The sequence below is a fragment of the Homo sapiens genome, chromosome 10 (assembly GCF_000001405.40).
Source record: "Homo sapiens chromosome 10, GRCh38.p14 Primary Assembly".
Classification (NCBI taxonomy): Eukaryota; Metazoa; Chordata; class Mammalia; order Primates; family Hominidae; genus Homo; species Homo sapiens.
In genome coordinates this window covers 100,269,250-100,291,655 of record NC_000010.11, presented here as the reverse complement: position 1 = coordinate 100,291,655, position 22,406 = coordinate 100,269,250, and the positions used below count along the sequence as shown (strand labels likewise).

General features: G+C 46.9%; 2 protein-coding genes across 8 annotated transcripts in view, besides 3 other annotated features; both read left to right on the top strand.

Moving 5' to 3' along the window:
• The window catches only part of PKD2L1 (polycystin 2 like 1, transient receptor potential cation channel), a 42,080-nt gene extending 38,573 nt beyond the window's left edge, over positions 1–3,507 (top strand). For both annotated transcript variants that reach the window (NM_016112.3, NM_001253837.2), the window contains exons 12-16: positions 229–355; positions 1,137–1,255; positions 1,518–1,641; positions 2,600–2,684; positions 3,178–3,507. In NM_016112.3, the coding sequence (NP_057196.2) occupies positions 229–355; positions 1,137–1,255; positions 1,518–1,641; positions 2,600–2,684; positions 3,178–3,260 (538 nt within the window). In that variant the 3' untranslated portion in view covers positions 3,261–3,507. The remainder of the gene's footprint in view (positions 1–228; positions 356–1,136; positions 1,256–1,517; positions 1,642–2,599; positions 2,685–3,177) is intronic.
• Positions 4,860–5,059: a silencer, noted in NCBI's record as "silent region_2705". NCBI's record gives its function as "represses an Ori minimal core promoter by ATAC-STARR-seq in GM12878 lymphoblastoid cells {active_cell/tissue: GM12878}" and the evidence as "EXISTENCE:reporter gene assay evidence [ECO:0000049][PMID:35858748]".
• BLOC1S2 (biogenesis of lysosomal organelles complex 1 subunit 2) lies at positions 4,976–18,378 on the top strand. Of its 6 annotated transcripts, NM_001282436.2 has the most exons (6): positions 4,976–5,051; positions 5,443–5,559; positions 8,643–8,750; positions 10,603–10,722; positions 11,428–11,532; positions 16,163–18,363. In NM_001282436.2, exons 3-6 carry the CDS (start codon positions 8,720–8,722, stop codon positions 16,192–16,194), a joined length of 288 nt encoding a protein of 95 aa, NP_001269365.1. In that variant the 5' UTR covers positions 4,976–5,051; positions 5,443–5,559; positions 8,643–8,719; the 3' UTR covers positions 16,195–18,363. The 6 variants fall into 6 exon arrangements, with proteins under 6 accessions (NP_001269365.1, NP_001269368.1, NP_776170.2 ...); NM_001282439.2 differs by lacking the exon at positions 8,643–8,750 and having other exon boundaries at positions 16,166–18,363; NM_173809.5 differs by lacking the exon at positions 8,643–8,750.
• Positions 5,235–5,742: an enhancer, noted in NCBI's record as "H3K27ac hESC enhancer chr10:102045671-102046178 (GRCh37/hg19 assembly coordinates)". NCBI's record gives its function as "activates a minimal SCP1, AML or CMV promoter by ChIP-STARR-seq in primed H9 embryonic stem cells {active_cell/tissue: H9 hESC(primed)}" and the evidence as "EXISTENCE:reporter gene assay evidence [ECO:0000049][PMID:30033119]".
• Positions 5,350–5,649: an enhancer, noted in NCBI's record as "active region_3886". NCBI's record gives its function as "activates an Ori minimal core promoter by ATAC-STARR-seq in GM12878 lymphoblastoid cells {active_cell/tissue: GM12878}" and the evidence as "EXISTENCE:reporter gene assay evidence [ECO:0000049][PMID:35858748]".

The following is a 22,406-nucleotide window of genomic DNA, read 5'->3' as shown; positions in this document are numbered from 1 at the left end:
CCCTGTAGGAGGTCATGAGGCCCTGAACCTGGTGAGCAGGAGTCAGGAGAGGAAGAAGAAACTGAACTGAACTGAGTGTTTTCCTGGGGGTAAGATTGCTAGACTTTGGAGAACCTTCTTTACCAGAAGCAAAACTTTTGCCAGAGTCAAGCAAAAGAGTGAGGAAGTCCATAACTGAGAGGTCACAGCCACAGCTGGGCAGAAATCATTTCATCATCCTCTTCTCAGACTGGGACACGCAGAGCATGAAATCACTGAGCTCACGGCCACCTTCACCAAGTTTGACAGAGATGGGAATCGTATTCTGGATGAGAAGGAACAGGAAAAAATGCGACAGGACCTGGAGGAAGAGAGGGTGAGCTGGGCTGATGGGTGGAGAGGCAGTGTAAGGAAATAGCTCACCCTCTCCTTCCCCCAACATACCTAGAACACAAACCCACCTGAAAACTCTCCCATAGATAGTAAAGAACTCTCTAGAATAGTAGTTCCCAAACTGCTGCACATTAGAATACCCTGGGGGGCCTTTAAAAATCTTCATACTCAGGACACACACTCTAGACCAATTAAACCAGAATCTCTGGGTGTGGGGCCTAGACATCAGTACTTTTTATAACTCCTTAGGTGATTCCAATACATAGCCAAGGTTGAGAATCATGCTCTAAAACACAGGCTTAGGGAAAAATGACCAACTGCCCAAGAATCACTGATAATTCCCTCAGAGGACTTGCCTTCTCTTGGGAATTTTCAGACTTGGATTCTTGGCTGTCCCTACTGTGCCTGCTCCATCCCTATCCAGTGTGGACCAAAAAAAGTCAAAGGCAGGGTGACAGCAGCCTAGAAAGTGCCAAGAACACTGGTAGTGTCCCTCCTCTGCTAAAATGAGTTGGCCTCTAGTAAATACCTCATCCATCAAGCCTTCTAGGATCTTGTGTTTTCTTTGAGAGGTGACTCCTCCAGAGGTTGGTCCAGCACCACCACCCTGACCCTATTGTCTCCAGAGTCTGGGAGGGAAGGGGAATAGCAAGAACTAGGACCTGAGCCTTGGTCCTGAGATCCCAGTAGAGTAGGTGATAGAACAGGAGCTGATGGCTTCCCAGAGTTATCTCCTCCCCTCTAACCTCTGACTTCCTGAGCAGGTGGCCCTCAACACTGAGATTGAGAAACTAGGCCGATCTATTGTGAGCAGCCCACAAGGCAAATCGGGTCCAGAGGCTGCCAGAGCAGGAGGCTGGGTTTCAGGAGAAGAATTCTACATGTACGTGCAGCCAAGAAAGGCTGGTTCAGGGCTGGCAACACTTCTATTACGATACCCTGTCTTGTACTTTTCCCACAACTTTCCAATTCTCTGTCCTACCCCAGGGAGAACCTCCGCTCCCCTTTAATTCTGCCTACAAGGCTGGGTCTTCCCTTCCTTGTTCCATTCAGGACACATGCCCTTCTGTGAACCCTGGCTCTTTAGACATCCAGCCCCCAGACACAGATTTCTGCTCCATTCGTCTCTCTCAAATCCCACACAGGCTCACAAGGAGAGTTCTGCAGCTGGAGACTGTCCTGGAAGGAGTAGTGTCCCAGATTGATGCTGTAGGCTCAAAGCTGAAAATGCTGGAGAGGAAGGGGTGGCTGGCTCCCTCCCCAGGCGTGGTGAGTGGCCCTTCACCTGGTCCTCCTAGTTCCTCACAGCTGAACTCTGCCATCTTTTCCACTCAGTGGGTGGGGCAAGAACATTTTTGAAAGACCTATGTTTTCAGGCTCCTGGGGAAACATGTTCATAGCGGTTAGTGTATCAGCAGAGATGGGTCATGGAGATAAGGCCTGGAAGTTGCTTGCCCTGGCCTAAGGGCTGCCTTGGCCACATGAGATGGTCTGTGTCAGTCTGTTTGGGCTGATATAATAAATTATCATAGACTGGGTGGCTTATAAGCAACACAAATTTGTTCCTCACAGTTTGGGAGGCTGGGAAGTCTAAGATCAAGGTGCCAGTAGATTCAGTATCTGTTGAGGGCCCACTTCCTGATTCATAGAGAGCTGTCTTCTTGCTGTGCCCTTTCATGGTGGAAGGGGTAAGGGAAGTCTCCTTTATTTTATTTTTTTATTTTATTTATTATTATTATTATTTGAGATGGAATTTTACTCTTGTTGGCCAGGCTGGAGTGCAATGGCACGATCTCGGCTCACTGCAACCTCCGCCTCCTGAGTTCAAGTGATTCTCCTGCCTCAGCCTCCCAAGTAGCTGGGATTACAGGCATGTGCCACCATACCCAGCTAATTTTGTATTTTTAGTACAGATGGGGTTTCTCCATATTGGTCAGGCTGGTCTCGAACTCCTGACCTCAGGTGATCCACCCACCTCGTCCTCCCAAAGTGCTGGAATTACAGGCGTGAGCCCACTCATAAGGGCTACATACTCACTATCTAATCCCCTGCCAAAGGCCCCACCTCCTAATACTATCACATTGGGGGTTACAATTTTAACGGATGAATTTGGGAGGGACGCAAACAGTCTATAGCAGTCTGAGTTCTCTGGAATCAGATAGAGAGAAAAGAAAAGTGGTACACAAACTATTTCTTCAAATGATTTGTCCCTTTCTTCTTCCAACAGAAGGAACAAGCTATTTGGAAGCACCCGCAGCCAGCCCCAGCTGTGACCCCAGACCCCTGGGGAGTCCAGGGTGGGCAGGAGAGTGGTGAGGAAGGGGGCCTAAAGCATCAGACAGCAGGCTTCCCTCCCTCTGCCTCCGCACAGGCCCCCTCGCCACATCCCCTGCACTTCTAGGACAACAGGTCCCATCATGGCTGCTGCTGAGCCCCACCCTGCATCTGGCCTTTTGAGCCAATGTTTCTGTGTGTGGTGGGCATCATGCTTAGGCTTGTGAATCAGTGTTTCTGTGTGTTGCCACATAGCTCTGTGAAATAACGTCTTCCACTGGGCCTTTTACTCCCTGTGTACTTAGCTCTGTGTGTTAATTAAAAAAAAAAAAGTTAACAAACAGGATAAAGAGAGGGAGGGTAATGGCTCTTCCTAAGCACCTGGATAGCCATGGTCTGTGAAAAAGGTAGAAACCAAGAGAGTAGGCGGTATCTAGATGTCTTCCTACTTCCCAGTGAATCCTATTCTTATCCTTTGTGCATCCCAAGATTTGTTGCTAGCACCCATGGGTTTCTCGTTTTCCCCCACAGAGGTTCCCTATAAAAGAGAAGAGGAAGCCTTAGAGGAGAGGAGACTCTCCCGTGGTGAGATTCCAACGTTGCAGAGGAGTTAAGTGTGAGGCACTCCCGGAGCAAAGTCTATGAAGGATCTTCTGCAAGAGGCTGCCTCCTGGTCCACTGAACCTGGAAACTGAGTGGGCTTTAACCAGGAGATAAAAATGGAGCCTGAAGGGAATCAGGCAAGGAAATGAACTCAGGATTCAGAGATCTTTGAATTAATATGTGGTGGGTTCTGACATTATTCTTCCATAAGACCATGTGGGTTTCCATGGTGGCTATCAATAAAACTCCTTAGGAAAACTTGGACTTTGCATTTGCTTCTGGTATTATAGAGGGAAGAAAGGCTGAAATTGTGGGTCATCCATGTGCCTGGGCTGGAATAGGTTCATGCTCTCTAGGAGGTATAGAGTAGGTGCAGTGATGTGAAGGAGCTGGGCTATAAGAACTTCTAGGCCTAGCACAGTGACTCACGCTTGTAATCCCAGCACTTTGGGAGGCTATGTTGGGTGGATCACTTGAGGCCAGAAGTTCCAGACAAGCCTGGGCAAAATGCTGAAATCCTGTCTTTAATAAAAATACAAACAAATTAGCCAGGTGTGGTGGCGCGTGCCTGTTATCCCAGCTACTTGGGAGGCTGAGGCATGAGAATCGTTTGAACTCGGGAGGTGGAGGTTGCAGTGAGCTGAGCCGAGATCACGTTACTGTACTCCAGCCTGGGTGACAGAGCGAGACTCTGTTTCAAAAAAAAGAACTTCTGGCTCGCAGGAATGGCTTGAAATAGTGGCTACTATGGTTGCACCATAGGAAAAGTGGGGACAGGTGACAAGTGAGACTCAGTCCTCAGGGTGGAGACAGTCAGGGTAGGAGGGCTGGGGATAAGGGGTAGCTGGCGTGTGTGTGTATGTACTGGCATCGGGGTGGGGTGAGAGGGTGCAGAGGGAGGATAACCAGGGATAAGAAAAGAAACTACCAAGATTTTGGGTGTCCAGGAGCCTGCCTGAGGCCTGCTGAATATCTCCTATCCCTTCTTCTGTGGCCTTTATCCCTCCTCATTTTGCACCTTCAATTGCTCCCCAGTCACTTCTTCTCATCCATCTCTTTCACTCACTCCTGTTCTCCCATCCCATTAAGTACTCTGTACACCTAGGAGGCTTGTGAAACAGCTTAAATGCAATTAAGATAACCAGAGTGTATCCTCAGCCCTAAAAAAGTTACAGTCTAAGCTTTCTTCAAGGAAGGCTGTATCAACTGAAGAGAAGTAGATGCCTGCCTGCAGTTTAAGAAATAGGGGCCAGTGAGTTGGTGTTAACTCAGGACATTGGGAGGGACAGTATTTAGGACCAGGGATCAATGCCTGAAGGTTTCCCAAAGTGTGGACGAGACAACCTGTAAAACTTTGGATTCCCTGAGCAATCTTTTGATGACTAACTCCAGTGCGGAGTGTCAGGAGAGCGGGCAATCCGTCTTCAGTGGTTTTGGTCAGCAGGCCACAAACAGGGTTGACTATTCCCAGACGGGTCGTGAGTGGTACAAGATGAGTGATCCCTCCAGGGTGTGACTGTAGGGATGAGCTCGCCCTCAGTCCCAGACGTCGCGACTGTTGGCAGTGGATCAATTCACAACAGCCTGGCGTAGCTTCAATTTCGGCTCCGGAATCGCCCTTTGCTGTGTCATAGACCTGAGGCTGGACTGGACCGCTAGGCGCAGGACTGCAGGGCCGGCCGGGTGGGCGGGGCACACCCAGTGCGCATGCGCAGCACCCCGGCCCGGAAACAGCGCGGGGTCCGCTATGGCGGCGGCAGCCGAGGGCGTACTGGCGACCCGGAGTGATGAGCCCGCCCGAGGTACCCGGAATGGATGGGGAGGAAGCGTCCGGTGGGGGGCCTGGGGCTCCGTCTCGGGTGGGCGAGGTTGAGTGTGTGGTGGCTCACCTGGCAGGAACGGGCTGGTGAGAGGAGTGCACTTGTCGCTGCGCGCGAGTGTTTGTCCTGTCAGGGTGACTGGGATGGTGCCAGGATGAGCGGGGGTGCCGGGTATGGGCGAGGGGCGGTGCGAGGGAGGCGAGTTGATGTGTCAGATGGGCAGGGACGCAGTGAAGGACTTGAAATTATGGCAGATGGAGAATGGAGCCGACTTGATGGAATGAAGGCAAGTGGAGGGATGTCGGAACAGGCTGCTTTGGCTGGATTAGCACCGGGTGTAGGCGGGACACTTAGTCATTCTCCCTTGGCCCAGACGATGCCGCCGTGGAGACAGCTGAGGAAGCAAAGGAGCCTGCTGAAGCTGACATCACTGAGCTCTGCCGGGACATGTTCTCCAAAATGGCCACTTACCTGACTGGGGAACTGACGGGTGAGGCGGGGTCTGGGTTGATTCGGGTGCGGTTTGGCCCAGGAGGCCTGGGAGATGGTTAGCAGCATCAGTCTGCAGCTCCCTTCCTACCCTGCATGCCCTGAGACAGGCCTGTTGGAAGTTGGGGGAGGCCATGAATGGGAGAGAAAGAAAATACAACTCTGCAGGCCTCTGTAACATAGACTAATGAGAAAACAATAACAAAAAAGAGTTCATATCCAGCAACAGTAATCAAGAAGTGCTTCCTTGGGGAAAGTGTATTTTGAGCAGGGTTGTGAAGGGAATTATTGGTGGAAAAGGGGGAGATGATACAACTAGCGAATGAGGTGGTATGTGCAAGCAGTGTGTTTGGCTAAAGCAGAAGATGTGTTTACCGGGATAAAGAGAAATGAAATTGAGGAACGGGGAGTGACCTGCAGATTTAGGGACCTATTAGTTTGGTCTGAGGATTTGATAACCCATCCTTTGGGACATGACTAGTGTTTGATCGTTTCCAAGTGGACACATGACCTATGTGTGGAGGAGGATCAGAAAGTGAAGTATGGGCAGGGCGCGGTGGCTCATGCCTTTAATCCCAGAGGCCGAGGCTGGTGGATCACTTGAGGTCAGGAGTTTGAGACCAGCCTGGGCAAAATGGCGAAATCCTGTCTCCACTAAAAATACAAAAATTAGCCGGCCGTGGTGGCGGGCGCCTGTAATCCCAGCTACTGGGGAGACTGGGGCAGGAGAATCGCTTGAACCCAGGAGGTGGAGGTTGCAGGTTGCAGTGGACTGAGATCACACCACTTGCACTCCAGCCTGGGCGACAGAGTGTGACTCCATCTCAAAAAAAATGAGAAAGAAAAAAGAAAAAGAAAGAAAGTGAAGTCTGGTCCAGTACAGCATCTCAAAAACATTTATTAAATTGTTTCACTTCCCCAGGAAATTACTGTAAGCTAAATTTGTGAATCAGAATCTATGAGAAAAGGCTTGATACAGAATAGTAGGGGTTGTGAATCTGTAATTTTTTTTTTTCTTTTTCTGTTTTTAAGAGACAGGGTCTCACTATGTTGCCTGGGCTGGTCTTGAACTCCTGAGCTCAAGTGATCCTCTTTCCATCTATTTTGGTTGATGGCACCACCCAGGCTTAAAACCCCAGATACATCTTAGTCTGCTTCCATCCCTCAATATCTACTTGAACAAGTCCTATAAATTCCACTTCTGTAATGTTCTTGCACCCATGCTCTCCTTTCCATTCCTTTTACCACCACTCTGCCTGAGATCTTCATTACTTTTCTTTTATTATTATTATTATTTAAAAAAATATGGCCAGGCACGGTGGCTCATGCCTGTAATCCCAGCACTTCGGGAGGCCTAGGCAGGTGGATCACCTGAGGTCAGGAGTTCCAGACCAGCCTGCTCAACATGGCAAAACCCTGCTTCTACTAAAAATACAAAAATTAGCCAGGTGTGGTGGCACACGCCTATAATCCCAGCTACTCAGGAGGCTGACACGGGAGAATCGCTTGACCTGAGAGGTGGAGGTTATAGTGAGCTGTGATCGTGCCATTGCACTCCAGCCTGGGTGATGGAGGGAGACTCTGTCCTAAATAAATAAATAATAGAGATGAGGTCTGCTCCGTTGCCCAAGCTGGCCTCAAGTGATCCTAACACCTCAGCTTCCCAAAATGCTGGGATTACAGGTGTGAGCCACTGCACCCAGCTGTGACTCTGTAAGTTATCAGCCTGATTATTTGTTTGTTTATTTTTGAGCAAGAGAAACCAAGTAACAAAATGTAGGTGTTTGGCTTCTCTTTAACAATTCCAAAGATTTGGCGCTACTAGCCCCTGCATTCTTTCAAGGCTATAATTGACTAGAGCTGAGCAGCTGCCTCTTAAAAGGACTAGTGCTATCTAATTTGTCCTTACCACTTTCTGTTTTCTCCCTTTACTGGGAACTAGTGTCAAGTGCCATTGATCACTGTTCTCTACTGTTATTTTTATTAGTAGCAGTACAGAAATGGTTTTCTATACCAATGGCTCTATCAAAACTGGTAAAGTAAATGATGGGCTAAGAGGATTGCATATTGCAAGAAGTAAGGGGAAGCACATTTCTTCATGGAAGTGAATAATTTTCTTATGCATTTAATGTGCAAGCACTTGGCTTACTTTACTCATTTACGTTATCTTGCTGGCTTCTAGGTGTTTGAATATGTCACCCTTGTTTTATTTTATTTTATTTAGACGGAGTTTTCGCTTTTGTTGCCCAGGCTGGAATGCAGTGGTGCAATCTCGGCTCACTGCAACCTCCGTCTCCCAGGTTCAAGCAATTTTCCTGCCCCAGCCTCCAAAGTAGCTGGGATTACAAGCACACGCCACCACGCCTGGCTAATTTTTATTTTTATTTTTAGTAGAGATGAGGTTTTGCCATGTCAGCCAGGCTGGACTTGAACTCCTGACCTCAAGTGATCTGCCCACCTTGGCCTCCCAAAGTGCTGGGATTACAGGCATGAGGCGCAATGCCTAGCTGTGACCTTTGTTTTAGAGAGACTAATTTGATAGCAGTATAAATATGAGAGTGTAGATATGGGGGAGAGAGAACAGAGAGAGATGAGCAATAATTCAGATGAAAAGTAATAGAGGACCAGGCACCGTGGCTCATGCCTGTAATCCTAGCACTTTGGGAGGCAGGAGAATTGCTTGAGGCCAGTAGTTTAAGACCAGCCTGGGCAACATAGCACGACTCCATCCTTGTAGTCTTGTCTTTTCCCCTACCATCCAGAGGTTACATGCTCCAAGTAATCTAATAATAATAAAAGAAAAGAAAAGTAATGAAGATCTGAGGCAGAGTGGTGGTAAAAGGAATGGAAAGGAGAACATGGGTGCAACAGCATTACAGAAGTGGACTTTATAGGACTTGTTTAAGTAGATATTGAGGGATGGAAGCAGACCAAGATGTATCTGAGGTTTTAAGCCTGGGTGGTGCCATCAGCCAAAATAGCTGGAAAGAGGAACCATGTTTAGTGTGAAAATGTTTTCAGTTTTGGGTTGGCTGCTTGTTGATGTAACTAGGGAACTCAGGTGACTTGTACATTGGATTCCAGAGCTCAGAGATTGATCAGAGCACAAGAAACAGATTTCGGAGTCACTTTCGTAGTGGTGTGATTGGACGCTGTGCAGGATGAGATTGCCAAGGAAGAGCTTAGAAGTAGGTAAGAGAGCCTAGGCTAAAATGTCAGGGAATGCCTGTATGGTGCACTTAATTTGTTTTTAGTAACACTTAAAGTACCTAGGTTTCCAAATGATTTATTATATAATTAATTTTAAGCAAATTGTTATTTTCCTGTGATTGTTATTCTTACTCGCACAAATGCTTTATTGAATTTAAGAGTAAATTGATATTTCCTCTTAAACTATGCTAGTTTCTAGCATAAGCCTGGGAATGCCCATAGGTATGTGCTACCCATGTAAACATCAGTTATGTGTTACAGCTGAGAAACAGTTGAGAACTGATAGTTAAGGGGGTCTGATAAGAAAGCATCTGGCATAGACATCTAAGAAGAGCAGTTAGAGATTAGAAAATCATCGGTGTAGTACAATGCCATAGCAGCCAAAGGAAATGAGCATTTCCCAAAGAGAAGGAGATCAGTAGTGTCCAAGACAATGGAGAGGTTTAGGAGGATAAGAACTGAGCAAATGCCATGGATTTGGTGGTTAGCAGAGCAGGATGACTTTGGAGCATGTAATCTCTGGATGGTAGGGCCAAAAACCAGACTACAAGGGTATATGCAAGTAAATGGTAAGGAAGAGGATGTAGTGAGTGTCAGCTACTTTTTCAAATTGTTTAGCAGTGAAGCTCCTTTGCTTTACTGAGCAAATGATATAGATGTAGCAGAATAGAGAGAGTGCTTTTGAGCTGGAAGAAATCTGAATATATTGATACATAGAGAGGAAGGTGCCAGGAGAGAGGGAGAATTTGGAAATGCAAGTGAAAGGAGATGATTGAAGAGAGGCCCTGAAGAAGTAGAAGTGTTTGGGTTCAAGGCCACAAGAGGAGGGGGTTGTCTTGGCAAGAATAGGAACACTTCTGCCTCTTGGGAAGATATTAAGATCCAGAGAAGTTTAGAAGTGAGGCAGAGAGAAAAACAAAAAACAAAAGAAGTAAGGCAGAGAGGTTGAAGCAGCTTATGTTAATGGACTTGGCCTTTAGGAAAATTGGAGTAGAGACCATTTGCTTTGAATGGGGATAGGGAAAGAACTGAGGATATGAGAAGCAGACAGATGGTTTGGAAATGTCACTGCATAAAATGCAATATAGAATTATACATGGTAATAAACGAGTTACTAAGAAGTAGTGAGGTCCTAGCTGATAGTGTGTGTGTGTGTGTGTGTGTGTGTGTGTGTGTATGTGTATATATATATATTTTTTTTTTTTGAGATGGAGTCTCACTCTGTCACCCAGGCTGGAATGCAGTGGCACAATCTCGGCTCACTGCAACCTCCGCCTCCTGGATTCAAGCAATTCTCTGCCTCAGCCTCCCGAGTAGCTGAGATTACAGGTGCCTGCCACCACGCCCGCTAATTGTTTTGTATTTTTAGTAGAGATGGGGTTTCACTATCTTGGCCAGGTTGGTCTTGAACTCCTGACCTCGTGATCACCCGCCTCGGCTTCCCAAAGTGCTGGGATTACACGCATGAGCCACCGCGCCCAGCCTGATAGTATATATATTATATGTATATAAGTTAAATGTTTTCATGCTGTAGAAGTACCAAGACTATTTTACCTCCCTTTTCTTAGGACATGAGTTTATCATTTCCCTTTGTAACCATGATCCTGAACCTTCTGGATCTTGTTTGGTTTAAATAGTTTTCTGATTGTTGCCTGAATTTCTACCTAGACTTTCAGAGTACATAGGCTGAGTTATAAATGTCATAGATCAAAAGTGGCCCACTCCTTTGACACTTCCTTGGTCCTGCCTTGAACTACCACTTAGCTTATACTCCCACATTCTAATGATTTAAGACAAATCTTAAAGACATTACATCTTCTGTTTAATTTTCAAGCCACCAGTGAAGACTATAAGCTCCTGGAAAATATGAATAAACTCACCAGCTTGAAGTATCTTGAAATGAAAGATATTGCTATAAACATTAGTAGGAACTTAAAGGACTTAAACCAGAAATGTAAGTAATAATATTTGTAATTAAACATGTTTGTATTTAATGTTCTTTTGTGCTTGGGGCCATGGAGAAGAGGAGGGAACATGACATCCTTGTCTTGTGGGAGCTTGTTTTCTAAAAATGAATTCCAAATTTAAGATGAATTTCTTCCATTCTGAGGATTAGCATGTTTTGTTTGTATGGGTATTTTTGCTTCTAAATCTTGATTTTATCAGTTTATTCCTGGAATGGGAGGGGGCAAAGGAAGGGTGGCCAGATTCTAATGAATTGATTTACAAATCCATAAAGGATTACTCTATAAGCAGAAAACCAAAAACTCTATAATGGAAAACACTAATTTAGAGTAGTCGAATATATTTTTTCCATTGACTTATTATTTTTGTGTTTCTTTTCTCTAGGGTGCTCTTTCTTGGTATGGGAGTACCCAAGAAACAGAATCAGTAATGGAAAGATTGCTCAAGGAGCAAGAAATTAAAAAGAATGGAAAATTAGTAGATGAGAGACACTAAGTCTGGGCCACAGTCGTGCCTGATCAACTAGCTACTGTCTTCTAAAGCATCTGCCCTGCTAGTGCTCAGAATCATGTCACGCCACCTAATCTGTCTTAGCATAGCTGGAGAGACACTAGCATTATTACTTTTCCACTCTTTTCCTATATTCTTTGTTAATAAAGCCATATAAACATGAAGTTTTTCTTTGTTTTTAAAGATGCTGGACTGCAGCCTTATCTGGATCAGATCAATGTCATTGAAGAGCAGGTAGCAGCTCTTGAGCAGGCAGCTTACAAGTTGGATGCATATTCAAAAAAACTGGGTAACCGTTTTTACTTCTGTTTTGATGTAATAAAGACTGCTTCTTGCCAGCATATTCTTAGTAAACATAATAGTTAACATTTATGGTGTGCCTACAGTGATCTATTAATCTTCACAAAACCTTAGTAATTTATTATTATATTAATAAAAATAACATTTCCTGATTACTTAATGATATATCAGGCACTGTTCTTAGTGCTTTACATGTATTATGTTTGGTTTTTGTTTTTGGTTTGTTTTTTTTGAGACAAGTTTCACTCTTGTTGCCCAAGCTGGAGTGCAATGGTGCGATCTCGGCTCACCGCAACCTCCGCCTCCTGGGTCTGGGTTCAAGCGATTCTCCTGCCTCAGCCCCCCGAGTAGCTGGGATTACAGGCGCGCCACCACGCCTGGCTAATTTTGTATTTTTAGTAGAGACAGGGTCTCTCATGTTGGTCAGGCTGGTCTCGATCTCCCAACCTCAAGTGATCTGCCCACCTCGGCCTGGCCTGTATTATGTTTTTTATCTTCCCAATAATCTGTGAGGTAAGTACATGATTTTTTTTTGTACTTTTAGTAGAGACGAGGTTTCACCATGTTGGCCAGGCTGGTCTTGAACTCCTGACCTCGTGATCCGCCCGCCTCAGCCTCCCAAAGTGCTGGGATTATAGGTGTGAGCCACCACATCTGGTTCAAGTACATGATTTTTATCCTCATTTTGTAGGCAAGGAAACTGGTTTAAGGGGATAAGTAAGTTGCTTAAGGACACTAAGCCAGTACAGGGAAGAGCCATATTTCTAAGCAGGTCTGTTTGCTTACAAAGCTCAAGTTCTTATTTGTAGTTGAGAAAGCAGAAGCACCTTTAATAATGTAGATAAATATGTCTTAAATGAATAGTCAGTTGAGGATTTTCTTGAAAGATCACTTTTCCTTTGAGGAAGAAACTAGTATTTTTAGTACTAGTGGTTTGCTAACTGGCTCTGGCTCTTACATACATGGTTAAAAGTAAAGAATTTAGTGGGTTTTTTGTTGTTGTTGTTTTGTTTTTTTTTTCTATAAGAGATGAGGTCTTGCTGTGTCACCCAGGCTAGGGTGCAATGACGTGATCATAGCTCGCTGTAGCCTTGAACTCCTGGGCTCTAGTGATCCTCCTTCCTCAGCCTCCTGAGTACCTGGGACTACAGGTGTGCACCATCACATCCAGCTACTTTAAAAAAATTGTTTTTGAAACAAGGCCTTGCTGTGTTGCCCAGGCTGGTCTCGAACTCATGGCCTTAAGCAATCCTCCCACCTCAGCCTCTCAAGTAGCTGGAATCACAGGCCTTTTTTTTTTTTTATTGATCATTCTTGGGTGTTTCTCACAGAGGGGGATTTGGCAGGGTCATAGGACACTAGTGGAGGGAAGGTCAGCAGACAAACAAGTGAACAAAGGTCTCTGGTTTTCCTAGGCAGAGTGTTTGTGTCCCTGGGTACTTGAGATTAGGGAGTGGTAATGACTCTTAACGAGCATGCTGCCTTCAAGCATCTGTTTAACAAAGCACATCTTGCACCGCCCTTAATCCATTTAACCCTGAGTGGACACAGCACATGTTTCAGAGAGCACAGGGTTGGGGGTAAGGTCATAGATCAACAGGATCCCAAGGCAGAAGAATTTTTCTTAGTACAGAACAAAATGAAAAGTCTCCCATGTCTACTTCTTTCTACACAGACACGGCAACCATCCGATTTCTCAATCTTTTCCCCACCTTGCCCCCTTTTCTATTCCAGAAAACCGCCATCGTCATCATGGCCCATTCTCAATGAGCTGTTGGGTACACCTCCCAGACGGGGTGGTGGCCGGGCAGAGGGGCTCCTCACTTCCCAGTAGGGGCGGCCGGGCAGAGGCGCCCCTCAGCTCCTGGACCGGGTGGCTGGCCAGGCGGGGGGCTGACCCCCCCACCTCCCTCCCGGACGGGGCGGCTGGCCGGGTAGGGGGCTGACCCCCCCACCTCCCTCCCAGACGGGGTGGCTGGCCGGGAGGGGGCGCTGACCGCCCCCCCACCTCCCTCCCGGACGGAGCGGCTGGCCCGGCGGGGGGCTGAGCCCCCCACCTCCCTCCCGGACGGGGCGGCTGGCCGGGCGGGGGGCTGATTCCCTCACCTCCCTCCCGGACAGGGCGGCTGGCCGGGCAGAGGGGCTCCTCACTTCCCAGTAGGGGCGGCCGGGCAGAGGCGCCCCTCACCTCCCGGACGGGGCGGCTGGCCAGGCGGGGGGCTGACCCCCCCACCTCCCTCCCGGACGGGGCGGCTGGCCGGGCGGGGGGCTGACTCCCCCACCTCCCTCCCGGACGGGGCGGCTGGCCGGGCAGAGGGGCTCCTCACTTCCCAGTAGGGGCGGCCAGGCAGAGGCGCCCCTCACCTCCCGGACGGGGCGGCTGGCCGGGCGGGGGGCTGAGCCCCCCACCTCCCTCCCGGACGGGGCGGCTGGCCGGGCGGGGGGGCTGAGCCCCCCACCTCCCTCCTGGACGGGGTGGCTGGCTGGGCAGGGGGGCTGACCCCCTCCCACCTCCCTCCCGGACGGAGCGGCTGGCCGGGCGGGGGGCTGACCCCCCCACCTCCCTCCCGGACGGGACAGCTGGCCAGGCGGGGGGCTGACCCCCCCACCTCCCTCCCGGACGGGACGGCTGGCCGGGCGGGGGGCTGACCCCCCCACCTCCCTCCCGGACGGGGTGGCTGGCTGGGCAGAGGGGCTCCTCACTTCCCAGTAGGGGCGGCCGGGCAGAGGCGCCCCTCACCTCCCGGACGGGGCGGCTGGCCGGGCGGGGGGCTGACCCCCACCTCCCTCCCGGCCGGGGTGGCTGCCGGGCGGAGACGCTCCTCACTTCCCAGACGGGGTGGCAGCCAGGCGGAGGGGCTCCTCACTTCTCAGACGGGGCGGTTACCAGGCGGAGGGTCTCCTCACTTCTCAGACGGGGCGGCCGGGCAGAGACGCTCCTCACCTCCCAGATGGGGCGGCGGGGCACAGGCGCTCCCCACATCTCAGACGGTGGGCTGCCGGGCAGAGACGCTCCTCACTTCCTAGATGGGATGGCGGCCGGGAGGAGGCGCTCCTCACTTCCCAGGTGGGATGGCGGCCGGGCAGAGACGCTCCTCACTTTCCAGACTGGGCAGCCAGGCAGAGGGGCTCCTCACATCCCAGACGATGGGCAGCCAGGCAGAGACACTCCTCACTTCCCAGACGGGGTGGCGGCCAGGCAGAGGCTGCAATCTCCGCACTTTGGGGGGGCCAAGGCAGGCGGCTGGGAGGTGGAGGCCATAGCGAGCCGAGATCACGCCACTGCACTCCAGCCTGGGCACCATTGAGCACTGAGTGAATGAGACTCCGTCTGCAATCCCGGCACCTCGGGAGGCCGAGGCTGGCGGATCACTCGCGGCTAGGAGCTGGAGACCAGTCCGGCCAACACAGCGAAACCCCGTCCCCACCAAAAAAACACGAAAACCAGTCAGGCGTGGCGGCGCGCGCCTGCAATCGCAGGCACTCGGCAGGCTGAGGCAGGAGAATCAGGCAGGGAGGCTGCAGCGAGCCGAGATGGCAGCAGTACAGTCCAGCTTTGGCCCGGCTTGAGAGGGAGACCGTGGAAAGGAGAGGGAGAGGGAGACGGGAGAGGGAGAGGGAGAGGGAGACGGGAGAGGGAGAGGGAGACGGGAGAGGGAGAGGGAGACGGGAGAGGGAGAGGGAGACGGGAGAGGGAGAGGGAGACGGGAGAGGGAGAGGGAGACGGGAGAGGGAGACGGGAGAGGGAGACGGGAGAGGGAGACGGGAGAGGGAGACGGGAGAGAGAGAGGGAGACGGGAGAGGGAGATGGAGAGGGAGACGGGCCTGAGTTTGTTTTTGTCCTTATAACATTTACAGATTATTTTATTTTCATCATTTAACAAGGGCTGACTACTTCAAGAAAGTAGTTTGTAGTAGGCTGGGATTTGATATGGGTGGCGATTAACAATCAGTTTTATTTTCTACAGTTACATTTAGCCAGTGATTACCGTGAACCTTACCGCGTAGAAGGCAGGGGTAACCTTACCATGTAGAAAGTATCTTGGTTCACAGTAACCATTTGTGACAGAGTCCCTTTTTCTGTTAAAATTGTGAAACCAGGTGCTTTCATGGTTTTAATAGAAAAACGGAATGTCAGAGTAAGAGGCTTATTTGATGGCCTTTTAAATATCTGTATCTTTCAAAATTGCTTTCCTGGAGTAAGGTGTAAGGATAAGAACATACAGGAGGAAACATACATTTATACTTCCTGAGGGTTCCAGTCTGGTTCCAGAGGGCACCTGGGACAGTGCTGAGAGAGGCAGTTTTTTAGTAAGGCTCCCGATAGGTCAAGTGACAGATGTGCCCCATCCTGGTGGAGCTGTCTAAGTAGGTGCTGTTGACAGGGTGAGGACTTCGTGAACCTGTGTTAGGCTCTCAGTTCTGAGTGTCTGTGCTTGAATTCTTATTCCAAGTTTTACAGATCAGTGATCCGTATATTTGGACAGATGATGAGATTGAAGCTAATAGATTTTTAGTAATATTATACATATTTTTTAAACTTGACTGGAAATGCTAACTAAAAACTGTCTTTGTAAGAGCCAGTTTTAAAAGATGTAACTCTCCCTCATCCCTCACAGAAGCCAAGTACAAGAAGCTGGAGAAGCGATGAGAAACTTATTTCTATGGGACAGAGTCTTTTTTTTTTAATGTGGAAGAATGTCTTATAAAACCTGAATCCTGAGGCTGATGAATTGTGAAAATTCCTCAAAAGGAAATTATGCTGGTCATCACAGGAACATCTCAACGTTCGAGTAAACTGGAGGACTGTGGCTATTCCTGAACCTTCTTTGAGACAGAATCCCTCAGAATCTCACACTTATAACTTCCTACCTTTTACTTGAATGCTTTGCCATATTCAGGACAGAGACTCTCACAAAGTTCAGAAAACAGCTGGACTTACCAGTAAAATCAAATGAGAGGACCTATTTTCTCTGGTAGTGGTTGATTACTACATTATTTTCTTAAGTGGCTGGTTTTTTAGTTACTATGTAAATGGTCGTTTTTCTGTTAATGATGCTAATGTGTTGTAAACAAGATTCTAAATTTAAAAAGGAAAACAAAACAAACTTGTTCTTTGCAGCTTATCACCTTGTGAATGTCGGTAACTTACTTTTCCATAATATTGCAAATAACATAAAATCTTAAAATAATTCCAAGCTGAGTCTTCTAGATTGAGCAGAAATGGTGAAAGGAGTATTGATAACTTGGCGTATGTGATGGGCCCCTCTTGTTTATTTTCTATGTGAGTCACATTGACATGCGATCAGTTTGGGAAATGTGATGAAAACAAAGACTAGATGGGTATGTGTGTTTATGTGTTGGGTAGGGAGGTGACGATTGCCACTCATAAAATAAAGGATTTTATAAAATACCTTCCTACTGTGTATGTAGGATTTGGGGGGATCTTAGGGACCTAATCGACTTCTTTGCACACTAAAAACATCAGACAATGGGACATACTGACTGACCAGTCTAGGTTGAAAGATAGGCAGCCTTACCCAGAACACAACATTAGCAGCTGGGAAGGTGTCTGAGGTCCCCAATTACATATCCCAAAGAGTTTCTTACTTCTGTTTCTGTCATTTCCCCTCTGTTCCAGACAGTCATCATTTATCCTCTGTTCTTCCTGGACTGTTGCTGTGGTCTCTTCTCATCTTAACTGTCCCTTCCAACCACCCTCCACACTGCTGCCAGAGCAATCTTAAAAATGTAAACTGGCCCTATTACTCCTGCTTAGAACCCTGTAGTGACTTATCATGGCCTCTGAAAAATCTAGACTTTCATTATGCATACAAGTCCCTTGTGTTTTTTTGTTTGTTTATAGACAGGGTCTCTATTGTCACCCAGGCTGGAGTGTGGTGGTGTGATAATAGCTCACCTTGACCTCCTAGGCTCAACTGATCTTCCCACCTCAGCCTCCTGAATAGCTGGGACTACCAGCACGCTCCACCATGCCTTGCTAATTATTTTTTATACAGATGGAGTCTCACTATGTTGTCCAGGCTGGTCTTGAACTGGCCTCAAGTGATTCTCTTACCACAGCCTGCCAGAGTGCTGAGATTGTAGGCATGAACCACCGTGCCTAACATAAGGCCCCTATTTAAACATTTTTCTTAAATAAAAAACAAAAGAATTAAACTGTAACTCTACTATCTTAACATAGAATCAGTCTTACCCCTTCTTCCAACCCTTTTCCTTTTCCGTGCATGTATTGATCTATTTTTTTTTTTTTTTTGAGATGAAGTCTTGCTCTGTCGCCTGGGCTGGAGTGCAGTGGTGCGATCTTAGCTCACTGCAACCTCTGTTTCCTGGGTTCAAGCGATTCTCCTGCCTCAGCCTCCCGAGTAGTTGAGATTTACAGGTGCCCACCACCATGCCAGGCTAATTTTTGTATTTTTAGTAGAGACGGGGTTTCACCATGTTGGCCAGGCTGGTCTCGAACTCCTGACCCCAAATGATCCACCCACCTCGGCCTCCCAAAGTGCTGGGATTACAGGTGTGAGCCACCGCACCCAGCCATGTTGATCTATTTTTAAAAAGTTTTTATTTCCTGTTACACTGTGTTCAGCTATCTTCAGCCACCTTAAATTCCCATGGATGAGTTTTCATAAACTTTTTGAAAATAGATTTAGATTTACGGGAAAGTTGCAAAGATAATACAGAATTTAATGGATGAGTTTTTTTATTGATGTGTAATAGATGTATGTATTTTCAGAGTACAAGTGATAATTTAATACATGTATATAATGTGTAAATATTAAATCAAGAGTTATTGGGATGTCCTTCACCTTAATATTTATCTTGTCTTTATGCTAGGAACATTATTTGAATTATTCTCTTTTACCTATTTTGAAATGTACAATAGATTAACATTAGCTATAGTTACTCTACTGATCTATCATAGGTCTTATTTCTTCTGTATTTGTGTCCACTAATCAAACTCTTCATCCTCACGTCCCCACCACCTTTCCTGGCCTCTGGTAACCACCAATCTACCTCCATCTCCATGAGATCCACTTTTTTAGCTCCCACATGTGAGTGAGAACATGTAATATTTGTCTTTTCTGTGCTTGGCTTAGTTCAGTTAACACAATCACCTCCAGTTTCATCCATGTTGCTGAGAATGACAGAATTTCATTCCTTTTATGGCTGAACAATATTCCATTGTGTATATATACCACATTTTCTTTACCCATTCATCCATTGATGGACACTTAGGTTGATTCCATATTTTAGCTATTGTGAATAGTGCTGCAATAAACATGAGAGTGCATATATCTCTTTGATATATTGATTTCCTTTCTTTTGGATACATACCCAGTAGTGGAATTTGCTGGATCATATTGTAGTTCTATTTTTAGTTTTTGGAGGAAACTATACAATTTTCCATAGTGGCTGTACTAATTTACATTCCCACCAACTGTGTACAAGAGTTCCTCTTTCTCTGCATCCTTGCCAGCATCTGTTAATTCCTGTCGTCTTGATAGGAAATTTTAAGTGGGATGAGGTGATATCTTGTTGTGGCTTTGATTTGCATTTCTCTGATGATTGGTGATGTTGAGCATTTTTTCTTATAGCTGTTGGCCATTTGTATGTCTTGAGAAATGTCTATTTTGATCTTTTGCTCCCCCCGCTTTGTTTTTTTAAGAGATGAGTTCTCATTATGTTGCCCATGCTGGAATCAAACTGGGCTCAAACAGTCCTCCTGGGACTGGGCATAGTGGCTGAGGCCTGTAATCCCAGCACTTTGGGAGGCTGAGTAGGTGGACCATCTGAGGTCAGGAGTTCAAGGCCAGCCTGGCCAACATAGTGAAACCCTATCTCTACTAAAACTACAAAAAATTAGCCAGGCATGGTGGTGAGCACCTGTAATCCCAGCTACTTGGGAGGCTGAGGCAGGAGAATCACCTGGACCCCAGAGGTGGAAGTTGCAGTGAGCTGAGACTGTGCCACTGCACTCCAACCTGGGTGACAGAGTGAGACTCCATCTCCCCACCCCCTCCCCCTCCCCCAAAAAAACCCTCCTGCTTCAGCCTCCTGAGTAGCTGGGACTACAGGCAAGCACCACCACATATGGCTTTGCCCATTTTTAGACAGGATTTTTTGTGGGTTTTTTTCGCTATTGAGTTGTTTGAGCTCCTTGTTATATTTATTCTGGTTATTAATCTCTTGTCAGATGGATAGTTTGCAAATATTTTCTTCCATTCTGTGGGTTGCCTCTTCACTTTGTTGATTGTTTCCTTTGCTGTGCAGAGCTTTTTAGTTTGATATAATCCTATTAGTCTATTTTTGCTTTTGTTGCCTGTGCTTTTGAAGTCTTATACAAAAAATTTTTGCCCAGATCAATATCTTGGAACATTTCTCCAGTATTTTCTTCTGGTAGCTTCATAGTTTCATGTGTTAGGTTTAAGTCTTTATCCATTTTGATGCGATTTTTGTATATGGTGAGAGATAGAGTTGAGTTTCATTCTTCAGTATAGGGCTATCCAGTTCTCCAAGAATCATTTATTGAAGAGACTGTCCTTTCCTCATTGAATGTTCTTGGCACCTTTGTACTTTTGGTATTGACATAAAATGAGTTGGCTGTAAATGCATGGATTTATATATGTTCCATTGGTCTATGTGTCTATTTTTATGTCAGTACCATACTGATTGGGTTACCATAGCTTTGTAGTAGATTTTGAGGTTGGGCAGTATGATGCCTTCAGCTTTGTGCTTTTTGCTCAGGATTGCTTTGGCTCTTTGGGGTCTTTTGTGGTTCCATATAGATTTTAGGATTGTTTTTTCTATTTCTATTTCTGTAGAGCAGCAGTCCCTAATCTTTTTGGCACCAGGGACCGCTTTTATGGAAGACAATTTTTCCGTGGACGCGGGGGGATTTTTTTTTTTAATGGTATGAACCATATTTATTGAAAACATTATTTCTGGCCTTTCTCAAATTGAAGACTGCAAAAAATAAAAGCAGTGCTTTATTGAGTTGTCATTAACCTTGAGAGCAGTGGCGCTGCCTCTCCACGCTCTGGGGACGGTGGAAACCGTGGCTGGTGCGTGCCACATCTATCACACCTCGGTCTACAAAACAGTCCTGACGTCAAATAAAACTATTGTGGCCGGGCGCGGTGGCTCACGTCTGTAATCCCAGCACTTTGGGATGCCGAGGCGGGCGGATCACGAGGTCAAGGAAATCGAGACCATCCTGGCTAACACGGTGAAAACTCGTCTCTACTAAAAATACAAAAACAAAATTAGCCAGGCATGGTGGCGGGTGCCTGTAGTCCCAGCTACTCTGGAGGCTGAGGCAGGAGAATGGCGTGAACCCGGGAGGCGGAGCTTGCAGTGAGCGTAGATCGCGCCACTGCACTGCAGCCTGGGCGACAGAGCGAGACTCAGTCTCAAACAAAAACAAAAACAAAACAAAACAAAACAAAAAAAACAAACGCTCGTACATGACATTTACATTAGAAAAAGAGAGCTGAAAGTAGGGATGGGGGGATGGTTTGGGGATGAAACTGTTCCACCTCAGATCATCAGGCATCAGATTCTTGTAAGGTACGCAGCGCCGTAGAACCCTCGCATGTGCAGTTCACAATAGGGTTCCAGCCTCTGTAAGAATCTGATGCCACCACTAATCTGATAGGAAGTGAGCTCAGGCGGTTATTCTCACTTGCCCACCGCTCGCCTCCTGCTGTGCGTCCTGGTTTCTGATGGGTACTGGTCCATAGCCCGGGGGTTGGGGATCCTTGCTCTATCTAGAGAATGCCATTTGTATTTTGATGGGGATTGGACTGAATCTGTAAATTGCTTTAGGTAGTGTTGTCTTTTTTCTTTCTTTCTTTTTTTTTTTTTTGAGACGGAGTCTCGCTCTGTTGCCCAGGCTAGAGGCTGGAGTGCAGTGGCTGGATCTCCGCTCACTGCAAGCTCTGCCTCGCGGGTTCATGCCATTCTGCTGCCTCAGCCTTCCGAGTACCTGGGACTACAGGCGCCCGCTACCACGCCTGGCTAATTTTTTTGTATTTTTAGGAGAGACGGGGTTTCACCGTGTTAGCCAGGAAGGTCTCGATCTCCTGACCTCGTGATCTGCCCGCCTAATTCTTCTAATCCATAAGCGTGGAATATCTTTCCTTTTTGTGTGTGTGTCCTCTTTCATCAGTATTGTATAGTTTTCCTTGTATAGATCTTTCATTTCTTTAGTTAAATTGATTCCTACGTAGTTTATATTCTTTGTAGCTGTTGTAAATGAGATTGCTTTTTTGATTTCTTTTTCAGATTGTTTACTGTTGGTGCATATAAATGCTACTGATTTTTGTATGTTGATTTGGTATCCTGAAACTTTTACTGAATTCGTTTATTATTTCTAACAGTCTTTTTCGTGGAGTCTTTTGATTTTTCAATACGATGAGTTTTTATGTCTTACTTTTGTATCCTCTTCTGGGAATTATTACCTGCTCATGTTTGGCAAACTTCTACTCTTCTTCAAGATTCAGTCTTGAGTGCTACTCCTGGGCAGTGCTGTATTATCCAAAGAGTAGGAAAAAATGCATGCTTATGTGCCAGCAAAGCAGAGCCACCAGTTATGAGGCAAGAAACAAACAAAAAAGAAGGCTTGTAGGCTGTGGGAAAAGCCAGAACTTTGTAGTTTTGTTTGGTTATTGAGACAGGGCTTGCTGTGTCACCCAGGCTGGAGTGCAGTGGCAAGGTAATAGCTCGCTGAAGCCTCCATCTCCTGGGCTCAAGTGATCTCCCCACCTCAGCCTCTGGAGTACCTGGGAGTACAGGCATACGGCCACCATGCCCAGCTAACTTTTTTTTTTTTCTTTTTAA